Here is a 14,285-nt window from a genome sequence, read left to right as displayed (position 1 = left end):
TGTGCCTCATTTGTTCTGAAGCCATCTGCTAGACCTGGCCAATGCTTCCTTTTGTTAAAATAACACATTTTGTCTTTCTGTCACTTTATGTCTTTTGTTCTCTACCTTTCTACAAGGCCCTCCCTTCCTTGGGACTTCTCATAAGACTATTGATGCACTGTGGCTTTACTCTTCCCAATACGTACAACTTCACAGAAGCAATGTCATAAAGAGATGACCTAAAGTAAAGAGAGGCAGAGACCAAAAATAAGGTGAATTCCAAAGGTGGTAGGGTCTTGTTATCTCTGAGCCCCCTTTATGGACTGGCAGCTGAGTTAGAATTTCTTCCTCCAAACCAGAAGTCTATCCTCTGCATATCTAGCCATTGAAAACCACAGCTTGCATATACCATGCTTGGCAATGAACGTGCATACACCCTCAGTAGTGGGAAAGAAAGCTAGCCAGCTGTGCAGAGCTGGCAGAGAGAGACTGATCAAGACCAGATCGTGTCCTCGCTCTTAGCTCCTGCTTCAGCCTTTCACTCTTTAGCTCTCTTCCTTTCTTTTTGCACAAGATTTGCTATAATTTTATCCAAAATTAGGAATTTTTCTGCACAAGACATTGAATAAGTGATTAATATTCATAGTAAACTACCCCCCTCCCTTGACTTATTCTTGACTCACTGTTAGGTTAGAGACATGATTGTCAGTAATTTCATATCAACTAAGAGCTACTGGTTTTAAATACACAACTGAGAGCTCTTATTGTTTGTTTGGAATGACCTGAGACCTTTTGGTTATTTCTTATTTTTTGTCTGTATACTGCTCAGGAAAGTTGCTGAAGAGTTAGTTTCTGTAAATATAACCCTGTAAATATAATCAAATGATTCTGTTTCTAATCAAAGTGTTGGGGACATTTAATAGGCACTTGTTTATTAATTGAATTGATACTTGCATTTTTTCTCTTTCCTAAGAATTCTTGTTCAAGTCTGTATTTATGTTTATGTTTAAATACAAGAGGCATTCACTAAGGAAGGATTTTGTCAAAAGACAAATTTAAAGTAGTTTAACTCAACATAGGGAGATCACTTTATGATATATTTTTAAGGGCAAGTAAGTTTAGGCAGCAAATTGTGCTAAAAATGAAATAAATGTTAGATAAGTTATTAATCTTATATTTAACAAAAGGTTATAGCTGCAGTGAGATAAATCTTAGAATTTGAGGGGGCATTGTTTTTCCAGGCAAACTTGTATCACAGTATACTATGACAATTTTCAATTCACATTTGGATTGTACTACATCATAATAAAAATCACATATTTTTAGGAAAAAAAAACAGGGAGGGACTTCATTAATTTCTCCAAGGGGTTTGATGTTTAAATCAATCTCCTTTGAACACCTATCCTGCCACCATTATTTTTTAAAATATTCTATGTTTCAACTGGACAGTCTCTGCCAGTTACTGATATGCCAACAGCTTTGTATATGATCTAAGTAGTATACAATATTAATCTTACGTCTTTTACAAAAAGACATCTCACTTTGCAATTGATTTGGATAGCACGGTTGGTAGTTTATAATAAATATTTGATATCTAAAAGATAGCAAACAACTGATAGCTACTGAAACAATGGGTAGGAAGAGATGTTAGTGTTAAGTGGAGAAGGGTATTTATAGACTAATTTATAAATGATCATTACTGTTTCAAAGACTGCCACTTCCTTTTGGAACCTGATAACTGTAAGACCCAGATAATGTATTCTGGTCTGACAATGAGAAAATTCTACTTAGATGATACACAGTTATATCACACATGTGAATTCTACTTAATGAAATTGTCTTAGACTGTATATTTCTGATATTTCATTCCTGTAGTTAGGCATTTCCTAGACCTTGAATTTCATCACTTCAAACACATTTTCAATACTGTTCACATTATTGAATTTACCAGAAAGTGTGCGCTAAATTTCTTTTCTTTTCTGAATAGCAGTCCATATGTTATTTAAGACATTTGCTGCATTGTGTTATTTGAGCCAGAGACGTAAGTCTTGGGAGAAAAACATAAAATAAATACATTGATGCTATATGTCTTGAATATAACTCTGAGAGCTTCCGAACTATCCTAAAACCTTACTTTCCTTTCTGGTTAGTAAATTTCTTGGGCTCCATTTTGTTATTATAGTGTCAGTTACTTTGCATCAGAACAAATAAGGCACTACATCAGAGCAGCTAAAAATGTAAACTTGGGAATCAAGTGATTTTGATTAAGTTGTGTATCTGAATGCCTCAACTTCCTCATCTCCAAAAGTGAAAAGAATAATAATACCTACTTTGAAGGATTGTTGTGAGGATTAAATAAGTCAAGACATAGAGAGTACTTAAATAGTGCCTGATACATAGTAAGTGCTTTACAGATACTAGCACTTAGGGCATCTAGTTGCTGTTAAAAGTCTGCTGAATCTTTTAATAACCATTTTAGGTGAAGCTAAAAACAAAGATAGTACCCAGATAGCAAATGAGCAGGATTAGCTGGTTCTGCACGTGAGGTTACTCTCAAAATCTCGGGTAGAAATGTTAAGAGAGGGGGCGGTTGCAGTAACAGCTGGCTAGGTAAGGGTTCCATCTCCAATCACTGTGTGGCCCCCGTTGACTCCCTTGCTTTTTCTGAATCTTCTCCCTCAGCAAAATAAAGAGACTGAATTAGTTGACCCTAGTGGTCATTCTTCATTCTGGAATCTCACAGCTTAATCTGCCCCAAAATAGGCAAGATCAAAAGAGTGAAAACAAATGCGGTTTAGTCAAGGACCTGTACTAAGTAGCTGTAGTGTTCTCCCTGTTCTGTGAGGGATGTCTTCCCATTTGACCCTGTTCTGTGAGGGATGTCTTCCCATTTGAGGCCGTCCTCAGAAGACTGGAAATGTCTGATCTTTTTTTAATAGTGAGAGTGGTAAAGCCTGTGCTTAGTGATCTGGGTCTCCAGGAGAGCTGAAGTCCTCACTGGTAAAAAATAAACACCCCTACAAGAAAGAATATATTTGGAGAACAAACTATAGGAGCAGCCTGCAAAGTCTCTTCTTGCTCTCATCTTAGCCACTTGCAAGGGGGGAAAAGAAAGCTGTTATCTACTAATTGCCTAATGTGTGCCAACCACTGTGCTAGACATTTAATAGATATGACAAGAACCATACAAGGTGGAGTTTATTTTTCCTATTTTACAAATGTGGAACTTAAGGCTCAAAGAGGGAAAGTGATTTTCCAAGTATACACAACAAGAAAATGGAAGAACCAGAATTTGAATTGCAATCTTTCTGGTTTCTGCTCTTTTCACTCCAGCAGGTTGCCATGGGCTCCACCTTACCTACTCCCATGGCCAATGAGAACAAGACCTGATGGTATGTGACTATCCAACCCCACCAGCTGGTAGGTGGCAGAATGAGTCTGTGGCCCAAAGCCCATTCTCTGAATGCCAAGGACAAGCCTACAGATGCTTGCATATTTCATCTTCACTCTGTGTTCCAAAGCCTGTCTTCCAACTATAAGAAATGCCTAAATTAAATTATAGAATTATTCTTACATTGATCTTAGTCCAGCTCCAATTCTTAAAGATGTGAATTAATTCAATTTGGATGATTTAGAAAAACAATATAATATAGTAGAAAGAACACAGAATTTGGATTCATATCCTGGCCTCCACCACTTACAAACTGGATGAGACTAAGCAAGTCACACAATCTCCTTGAGCTTTCGTTTCCTCATATGTGAAGTGTGGATAATGATGCATGATTCAGAGGTTATTGCCAGGATTAAAGGATAAAATGCATGTAAATTGCCCAATACAATGCTTGATAGATTCTTGGTAACTGCCAATGCCCCTTTTGCACCAATTATCAGCATTTCATCATCCTGACTCTCTTCCTATATGGAAATTAAGGTCCATAAGGGAGCGAAATTGAGAACACAGAAACAGATCCATTTATATATGGAATTTTCACATATGACAAAGGAGGCATAGAAGAGAAGAGTGAAAAAGCAGAGACACTGGTCTGAAAAAAATATTTTTTTACATGGAAAGTTTAAATGGATTGCTACCTCACACCACACACAAATAGCAAATTTGGATCCAAAGTTAAGAACAAAATTGTAAAATTTTTGGAAGAAAATATAAGAGTAAACATATTGAGCCTTAGCATAGATCAAAATTTCTTAAAAATGATACAACGATGTTAACCCTAAAATAAATTTGACTCATTTGACTGCATTAAAAAGTAAAAATTCTGTTCATGAAAATCTTCCTTTAAATTTTTTTTAAGAAAATTAAGAAACTGGAAAGACACTTGTCATGACATATCAGACAAAGGGAAAAAGTATATAAAGTACTTTTTTAAAAAATCATAATAAAAAAGACCAAAGTCAATTGAAAAATAAAGATGTGAGCAGGCATGTCAAAGAAGAGGAAAAACCAATAAAAAGATGAAGATACATTGAAATTCATTCTTACTCAAGGAAATGAAATCAAAGCCACAATGATATATCATGTTGTACCTTTCTGATTGACAAAAACTTAGTAGTTAGACTATAAAAAGTGATGGGGAAAATCTGAAACAATGGCTCTCAGACATAGCTAGTAGCAATAATGATTTGGGGCTATCTTATAAAGTTTAACTTTTGCATGCTTTATGGTTATGCAATTACATTCTTATACCTAAGGAACATTTTTCACATGTGCCCAGGAGAAATGTACAATAACATTTGTAGAAGCACTTTGTGTAATAACAAAAAATTAAAAACAAACTCTACCAGTCAGGGTCCAGTCAAGAGACATAAATCACACAGGAATTTGAACAGGGACTTTTATACATGAATAAAATATTAATTATAATGGGGGATTAGAGTAACAGGCAATTGGTTATTCAGAGGTTAAGAGAACTCTAAAGGATATAAGAATAGAAGATACAAGGTGCAGCCGCTACCCCTAGAACTGAATTAGAGCACTAAAGAAAAGAATACACCTAAAAGAGGACCCCTTCCCCAAAGTTAAGATGCAGACTCCACTGGAAAGCTCTCTGCTGTGGCTCACAGATGGTAAAGAAGTCCACTGAGGTGTCCGGTGGGAATCCACTCTCTAGGATGCCAGTAGAAACCACTCACAGGGAGGCAATGTGGCTCAGAACTCATTGTGTAGCCACCTGAGGGGCACCACGGGAAGCTTCCTAAACAGGAACTCCACATGTTGCCAGCCCCATGTGCTGCTGCCTGCCATGTACTACAGTAGCCAGCACTAGAGCTGGCACTGGAGAAGGCTTCCCAAGGAGCACACTGGCGCTGGAAGAGAAGTCTTGTGTTGCCATCTAGTACCCATCACTGACAAAGGTGAAATGTTTACAGGGTCTGTACCCATTGTCACAGAACAGCAATGAAGGGTGGCTCTGGAAGAGAGACAATGAAATAATGGCTGACACGTATCCCAAATGCCCATTAAGGAGAAAATAAGGACATTCACATCACAGAATATTATCACCATGGAAATGAATGAACAACTTTAAGCAACAATATCCATAGCTAGAACATGGGTGATTCTTAGTGACATAATGTTAAGAGAGGTGAAAGGAAAGCAGATATGATCATGGAGGAGGCCTCAGGTAGTTGTAATGGAATTGATCTGATTCCTGGGTTGGGTGGTGATTCATCAGTGTTTATTATAGTATTATATCATATCAGTATACAAAATGAAAGATGGTCATGCATGATGCTGAGACTGCATCATAAACAGTAGGTTATGAAAAATACAACTCATGTCTCTGTATGTGAGGTACCAAAAATGTTTAAAAAGTTAAAAAATTAAATAATTAGAAATATAGTCTGATAAAATTTCACATTATTACGTTACTCCCTGAGTACCATGTCTTTCAGCTTGTGCTATAACTGCAAAGAAAAAAATTTAATAAATTTCCCAATTTCTCTGGTATTTCCTGATGCAGTGCTTCTCAAACTGTGTCAAAGGACAATTTCATTGCTTGTTTTTTTCCCAGTCGTGACGTGCTGATTCTTTGGTACCTCTACTCTGTTCAAAGCAATGAATACATTGATCATGACTTTATTTGTAGGGACATTGTCAAGTTGCTATAATGCTTCTAAATGGTTTCTCTTTGATTCTGTACTCATCTAGGATGGACCTGTAATAAACCGCCCCAAGCCTGGCACGAGTCCTTTCTCTAATGGGTTAGAAACATGTGCTTCAGAATCAGATAAGCTTAGGTTTGATTTCCTCCTCTATCACTTACTACCTGCTTGGATAAGCAGATTAGCTCTCTGAGCCTTTGTTTCTTCCTCTATAAGATGATAATGAAAAATATTTGATAGAATAATAAAGAGGAAGGTCTGGAACAAGATGAATGAAGCACTCACTCACTGCAGGGTTCACAGCTGAGACTGAGGCCTCTCAAAACTTTGCATCCTAGGTGTCTCCCTTGCTTTACCTAATCTGTGAGGGCTAAATGAAATTGGGTAAAAAAAGTGCTTAAACAACGTGTGGCACAGAGTAAGATCTTCTGTAATGGTGTTCATAATTATGATTCCAATTTACTCTTAATATTATTTATGATTATTTTTGTTGTGTTATTATTATCAACCGGGCTTAATCTCTTAGCTCTCCATTTCTGTTCGTTAAGCTAGAAATATAGTGAAAATCCCTTTGGAGGGAAAATGTTCATGTAGAAAAAGCAAAAGATTCAGCTTTACTCTTCCCTCATCCATTTATTCATTTGGCAACACTTTATATTGTACCTAATATATGTCAGAACTATGTTGTTTACTGAAGATAGAGAATGAATAAGGCACAGTCTGTGTATTCTCAAAGAACTCACAGCCTGAGGTCAAGTGGGGTACGTTTAGGGAGTGATGGTAAAATGGCAACTGCTATAATAGAGGTTAAGTTGGGTCTAAGTTAGCCCGGAGGAGGAATCACCTATGTTTGGTGAGGCAGTGATCACGGTGGACTTGAGTCATAAAAAATGAATGATACTTTTACAAACCTTCCAAAATATAATGGGTTCATTTCCCCACTGTGTGTTCTTCCATACAACAAAAATGCATAACACATAGAGGAAAAAAATAACACTTCTCAGATGAAATAGACTGCAGAGATCATCACGTGCCAATGGTAATCAACCAGAGAAAGTACCGCCCTCTAAGGGGCATTTGAAAACATGCTGGGGTGTGTTTAGCTGTCATAACTGCCGTTAGGTTACTAGCATTTTGTGGGCAGGGAGTTCAAGATGGTAAACATCCTGTAATACACAGGACAGTCCAACACAAGGAAGAATTGCATTTATGAAATACCAATAGTGTTTCCTTTGAGAAGCACTGAAGACAGCTCGTGACTTATAGATCTACATGAGGTCAAATAGGCGGAAACAAAAATGCCAAAGCCATTCACACAATTATGTGTACCCTATAGTGACAACTGCCTTCCTAGAGCTAGTCTAAGCCTTCAAGCATCCTCTCGTTTGTGAATCACAAACGCTGCTGAGCGCACATCAGTGACTATGCAACATGGGCCTTGGTCCTTTTTTCTACAAAGTATGGACCTCCTTGTCAATATGCCACCAAGCTGGACATTCCAAACCATGCTGACTGGCAATTTTACAGGGTAACAGACAAATGTATTGTGGTTTGTTAGTTTAGTGTCCCTGATACCTTTTCTTCTTCCACATCGGTCATTCTTTCTAAGCTTCAAGAAATACCTTTCTTTCCCTTCTGTCAATATCCCATTCCTTCTCAAAGATCCACATTTGTGACAATCTCTATGTTTAAGTTGAAAGGTTTTAACATTTTTATTTTCTTTTACTGAAATTCAAAAGTCATTTATTAAACCAGGAGGAATTAATTTTATGTTGTTTTTAACATGTTGTATTGCATGAATAGCCAGTTTTCATTCAGCCAAGACCCACAACACACCAGGAATTTTCATATAGGAATTTAAGGAATTTTACTTATACTGAAGTATGACCATAGGAAGTTTTTACCTAGAAAATATGCAGACTTTACTGGACAGCATTGAGCAGTATTTTCCATAATTATCTACAAATCACTAATAATCTTTATGATGCAAAAAGTTTACATAAAAGGTATTATGAAAACTAACTCAGTGAAAAACTCAGCATATTCGATATGTTTTTTTATTTCTGGAATAAAGTAAATAAATGAAATCATTTTTTAAAAGTTTTGCTACTTTAGAATAAGCCTGTAAATTTTTAACAATATGCACTAAAATGTTTGTATATTTTACCAGTTTTGTATATTTCCTGGTTTGGCAAACACTGGTATGATGTATAGTAATTGTTGTAGTTTGTGTCAAATCAGCAGTCAATCAGATCTGTCATTATGTGTTTTAGATCTGATTCTAAAGATTCAATTGTATAGTCATTGTGGTAAGACCTTGCTTGACAGCCACTGCAACAAGAAAAGCCAAGGTGATGATGACCAGCCCATAATATTGGCAAGCAGATGGTCATTGCTGTAGCTCTAAGAATGAGTCTAGCTTTCTTTGCAGTTTTTCACAAATATTTCTACAAAAACATAGAGGTTCAACTTCATTCCAACCAGAAAAATTTGTTTTCCAGAGCTGGAAGACACTATGGAGATTTTCCAAATAGACTTCCTATATGGATAGGGAAGCAGAGACCCAGTGATGATAATTCATTTGTACAAACTCACAAAATGAGATAATGGGGGAGCCAGAATTGGAAATCAAATTGGTCTCAATTGAGAGATATAGACTCAACATTAGAAAAGCCCTATGGGTCACATGGTAACTAGCACTCCCCATCCCCGCTGTCCTCTGCTTTCTCACTGCCAGGCCAAGGGTGTATCAGCATTCTGTGACTTCCCAGAGACCCACACTGATGATGATCTCTGTACATAAACTGAAGAGGTTTAAAATTTTTATTTTTCATTACCAAAATACACTAATTAAGTTCTTTCTTATACCTTGAAAAAGCAAGAAAATATCTGAGCATGCAAAAAATGTCATTAAACTCATGGTCATAATTAACTGGACATATTCCAGTCTTCTATATGAAGCCTGTTGATATATTCTTTCTGTATACATTTACTAAACAGATCTAACAAACTAACTAAAAGAAAACACTAGAAGCAAGAGTTGATAACTGAAAATCTTACCATGAGGACTGAGACAGAAAAATTTAAAAGATAGAAATGAATTTAAGAAGCTTAAGTATGACCATTAAGAGGTGGAGGCATTCATATCCCAATAGATGTTTGCAAAATGGGAGAAGAAAAGGTCTCAATTATCTGGGCCATACGCTTATTGGCACAGGGGCCACACAGAATTACTGTCAGTAAGCTCATCTCCATTTTCTTGATTACACCTATAAAAGTGTGTTTTGCCTGGCCAGGCGCAGTGGCTCACGCCTGTAATCCCAGCACTTTGGGAGGCCAAGGAGGGTAGATCACCTGAGGTCAGAAGTTCGAGACTAGCCTGACCAACATAGAGAAATACCATCTCTACTAAAAATACAAAATCAGCTAGGTGTGGTGGCACACGCCTGTAATCCCAGCTACTCAGGAGGCTGAGGCAGGAGAATCACTTGAACCTGGGAGGCGGAGGTTGCAGTGAGCCAAGATTGTGCCATCGCACTCCAGCCTGGCAACAAGAGCAAAACTTCATCTTTAAAAAAAGAAAGAAAGAAAGAAAAGTGTGTTTTGCCCAATGGAGACTAAAGCCACCAAAAAGAAATATTTAAGTAAGTAATAGAGATACATTTGCCAGAATTAGAAAAAGCTGAAAGACTTCAGAATGAAAGAAGAGAGATGAGTGGTGAAAACTAGAACAGGATGTATTATAATGAAATTAACAATATCAAGAGAAAATTATAAAAGTGTCAAAGGAAAAGTACAAATTAATTATTTATTTATTTATTTATTTATTTATTTATTTATTTATTTATTTATTTTGAGATGGAGTCTTGCTCTGTTGCCCAGGCTGGAGTGCAGTGGTGCAATCTCGGCTCAGTGCAAGCTCTGCCTCCCAGGTTCATGCCATTCTCCTGCCTCAGCCTCCCGAGTAGCTGGGACTATAGGTGCCTGCCACAATGCCTGGCTAATTTTTTTTTTTTTTTTTTTTTGTATTTTTAGTAGAGACGGGGTTTCACCATGTTAGCCAGGATGATCTCAATCTCCTGACCTCGTGGTCTGCCCGCTTCGGCCTCCCAAAGTGCTGGAATTACTCCCAAAGTGCTGGGCGTGAGTAACCGCACTGGCCTACAAATTATTTATGAAGGAACAAGAATAAGATGACATGTGGTTTTTTTCAGCAGCAATACTGATGCAAGAAGATAACGAAGTAATATTTTTAGAGTACTGAAGAAAAAGAACTTAGAATCCAAAATTTAATTTCAAGCCAAACTGTCATTCATACATGAAGTCATGATAAAAATATTACCTGGCATAAAAAATTTCAAAAGTTTTTCTTCACAAGGGCACAAGCACACATTGAAAAGGGATCAAATATTTTGGTAAAATTTGTAATTATCTGGAAAATAACTTAAGATTAAAGGAAAAGAGAAATATAAATATAATAATCCATAGTTTATCCAGAGTTAAATGTAGACACTATCAATATGGTGGTTGTGAATGGGGAACTCCAGGGATCTTGATAGGCTTAGTAAAATAAGAACTTTAAATATATATATATTACATATATATATAATATATATGTAATATATATATTTAAACATATAAAAAGGATTTTTTAAATTTCAATAGATTTTTGGGGAATAGCTGGTGTTCACTGACATGAATAAGTTCTTTAGTAGTGATTTCTGAGATTTTGGTGCACCCATCACTCGAACAGTGTGCACTGTACCCAATCTTAAGTCTTAAAAAAGGATTTTTTAATCATAAAAGGTGGGACACACTGAAATAAATATAGTAAAATGGCAGAAACAAGCCCAAATTTATCAATAATTTACATAAAATTAAATTAATGAATTCACCAAAGGAAAGAAAAAATTAGATTGATTTTATAAATCCGTGATGTTTACCAGAGACACACATAAAACATAAGATTAAAATTAGGCTGGGAGTGGTGACTCACACCTGTAATCCCAGCACTTTGGGAGGTGGAGGCAGGCAGATCACCTGAAGTTAGGAGTTCGAGATCAGACTGGCCAACATGGTGAAACCCAGTCTCTACTAAAAATACAAAAGTTAGCTGGGCATGGTAGGGGGTACCTGTAATCCCGGCTACTCGGGAGGCTGAGGCAGGAGAATCTCTTGAACCCAGGAGGCAGAGGTTGCAGTGAGCCGAGGTTGCACCACTGCACTCCAGCCTGGGCAACAGAACGAGACTCCATCTCAAAAATAAATAAATAAATAAATAAAAATTTTGAAAAGATTAAAATTAAAAAGATAAAGTAAATACAAGACAAATGCTAACTAAAAGAAACCTGCTTTAACTATTTTAACTAAGCTCTTTAAAACCTACATTAAACAAGTAAAACTAATTTTGAAATATAAAGCATTATTAAGAATGTAGTGAGTTATTTTCTAATGATTGAGCCATCCTTGCATGACTAGAATAGACATTTTAATGAATTTAGAAGCTACAGCAACTTTTAAATATTTTGAACTTAATAAAAATGTCTCAATACAAGTGAAGCAAAATATACAAAGAGAAGTGAACAAATTTCCTATTACATTTTAAGATTTCAACACATCTCTCTTGATTATTGATCGTACAAGCTGAAAAAAATTAGGAAGGATATAAAAGAACTGCAAAATATCTCAGTTGTATAGTCATTGTAGTGAGACCTTGTTTGACAGACTCTGGAACAAGAAAGCCAAGATTATGATGGCCAGCCCATAAAATTGGGAGGCAGATGGTAATTGCTCTGGCTCTAAAAATGGGTCTAGCTTCCTTTGTGGCTTATTACAGATATTTCTGCAAAATCATAGTATTATAGAGAATTAATTAAGAATCTTGACTAATGAGCAATTATAAAGTCTCCTTCCAATAGTTAGAGAATATCTACTTTTTTCAACTATAGTATGGGTCATTTAGAAAAACTGAGCAGGTAGTTGGGCACAGTGGCTCATACCTGTAATCTCAGCATTTTAGGGGACCAAGGTGGGAGGATCTCTTGAGGCCAGGAGTTCAAGACCAGCCTGGGCAACAGAGTGAGACCTCATCTCTACAAAAAAATAAATAAATAAATATTAGCCACACATGGTGGCATGCACTTGTAGTCCCAGCTACTCAGGAGACTGAGGCAGGAGGATTACTTGAGCCCAAGAGATCAAGGCTGCCATGAGCTATGATCATGCCACTGTACTCCATCCTGGGTGACAAAGCAAGACCCTATCTCTAAAAAAAAAAAAAGAGAGAGAGAGAAAGGAGAGAGAGAAAGAGAGAGAACTGATTAGGTATTAGCAAAAGAAAGCCTTAATAAATTAAATTTCAAAAAGAATTATACAGGCCATAACCTTTGAACACAACATAATAAAATTATGTTTACAAAATATTTTAAGTTTCCATTTTAAAATTTTAATATAAACACTAAAAAAGTATGTGTTACTGAATAAATCATAATTAATTTTTTAAATATTTAGTACCCAACAATAAGGAAAACAAAATATATCAAAACTTGTGTGAGATATCATATTTTTTAATACAAGCCATAAATAATATTAGAAAGGGAGAAGGTCTTAAAATTAAGGAGTTAAGTGTCCCTCTTAAGAAATAAGAATGAGATAATAAAACCATGGAGAGCAGAAGCAGAAAATAATAAAATTAAGAGCAGAGATCAACACAATAAATACAAAGATATAATTAAAAATATCAAAAAGTCAAAAGTTGGAAAAAAACAAACATGACAAGATCGATCAAGAGAAGAAGATAAAAGGCAAAAATTAATAATGAAAAGTGGGGTATAATTTGGGCCATAAAGACAGATAAATAAGACATTAGAAGGGACAAAAAACTAATATAGCAACTATTTGCCTGCAACTTTGAAAACTTAGGTAAAATGGACAAATATTTTTGAAAAGTATAAACAGAACTCAAGAAAAAATAAATTGGATAGTCTTATAATTATTGATAAACTAATGCAGCAATTAAAATCTTCCCACAAAGAAAACACCAGAACCAGATGATTTTACATTCAAGTTCTACCAAACTTTAAACAAATATATTCTCCTTTAGACAGCAGAAAAAGAGAGAATGACCCAATTTCTTCAATGAAGCTAGTATAACCTTAATCCCTAAAACAACCATTCATTTTACAAACATTTGGTAAAATTCACATTCATTGTTTTTTTTTTTTTTTTTTTTTTTTTTGAGATGGAGTCTTGCTGTGTCACCCAGGCTGGAGTGCAGTGCTGTGATCTTGGCTCACTGCAACCTCCACCTCCCAGGTTCAAGCAATTCTTCTGTCTCACCCTCCCGAGTAGATGAGATTACAGGTGCCCGCCACCATGCCCAGCTAATTTTTGTACTTTTAGTAGAGATCGGGTTTCACCACGTTGGCCATGCTGGTCTCAAACAGCTGACCTTGTGATCTTCCCGCCTCGGCCTCCCAAAGTGCTGGGATTACAGACCTGAGCCACTGCGCCTGGCCTCAACACCTGTTCTTAATAAGACTCTTAGAAAATTTGAAATAAATAAACACAATAAACAATGTACATTAAATATTTAAAGCAAAACTTACCCTAAATGAAAAATTGTTGGAAGAATCCTCTTCCAAGTTAGAAATGGAAAAAAAAAATTATTCTATTGCCACATTTAGGCAACAATGTATTGAAGAGTTTTGCTAGGGCAATAAAACCAGAAAAAATAAAAAGGTGCATAAAAACTTTTTAAGTTGATAAAAAGCTGTCAATACTTGCAGATGATAATGCTTTTTTACTTACAAAACCAAAAGGAACTACCTGTACATGATTAGAATAACAGGAGAGTTTGCTGGGTGCAGTGGCTCACACCTGTAATCCCAGCACTTTGGGAGGTCAAGGTGGGTGGGTCACCTGAAGTCAGGAGTTCGAGACCAGCCTGGCCAACATGGTGAAACCCCCATCTCTACTAAAAATACGAAAAGTAGCTGGGCGTGGTGGTGGGCACCTGTAATCCCAGCTACTTGGGAGGCTGAGACAGGAGAATCGCTTGAACCCTGCAGGTGGAGGTTGCAGTGAGCCAAGATCATGCCACTGCACTCCAGCCTGGACAACAAAGAGAGAGACTCTGTCTCAAAAATAAAGAAAGAAAAGAAAAAAAATAATAGGAGAGTTTGGCA

The 14,285-nt window shown here is 36.4% G+C and overlaps 1 long non-coding RNA gene across 3 annotated transcripts in view; it reads right to left on the bottom strand.

The window, feature by feature from the left end:
• The window catches only part of LOC107985855 (uncharacterized), a 78,008-nt gene extending 64,026 nt beyond the window's left edge, over positions 1-13,982 (bottom strand). For all 3 annotated transcript variants that reach the window (XR_001739298.1, XR_001739300.1, XR_001739299.1), the window contains exon 1: positions 13,707-13,982. This is a non-coding gene — a long non-coding RNA (uncharacterized LOC107985855). The remainder of the gene's footprint in view (positions 1-13,706) is intronic.
• Between the last annotated feature and the right edge of the window lie 303 nt (positions 13,983-14,285).

This window comes from Homo sapiens, chromosome 2 (genome assembly GCF_000001405.40).
Source record: "Homo sapiens chromosome 2, GRCh38.p14 Primary Assembly".
NCBI lineage: Eukaryota > Metazoa > Chordata > Mammalia > Primates > Hominidae > Homo > Homo sapiens.
Note: the sequence above shows the minus strand (reverse complement) of the source record. Positions and strands in the feature narration are given on the sequence as shown.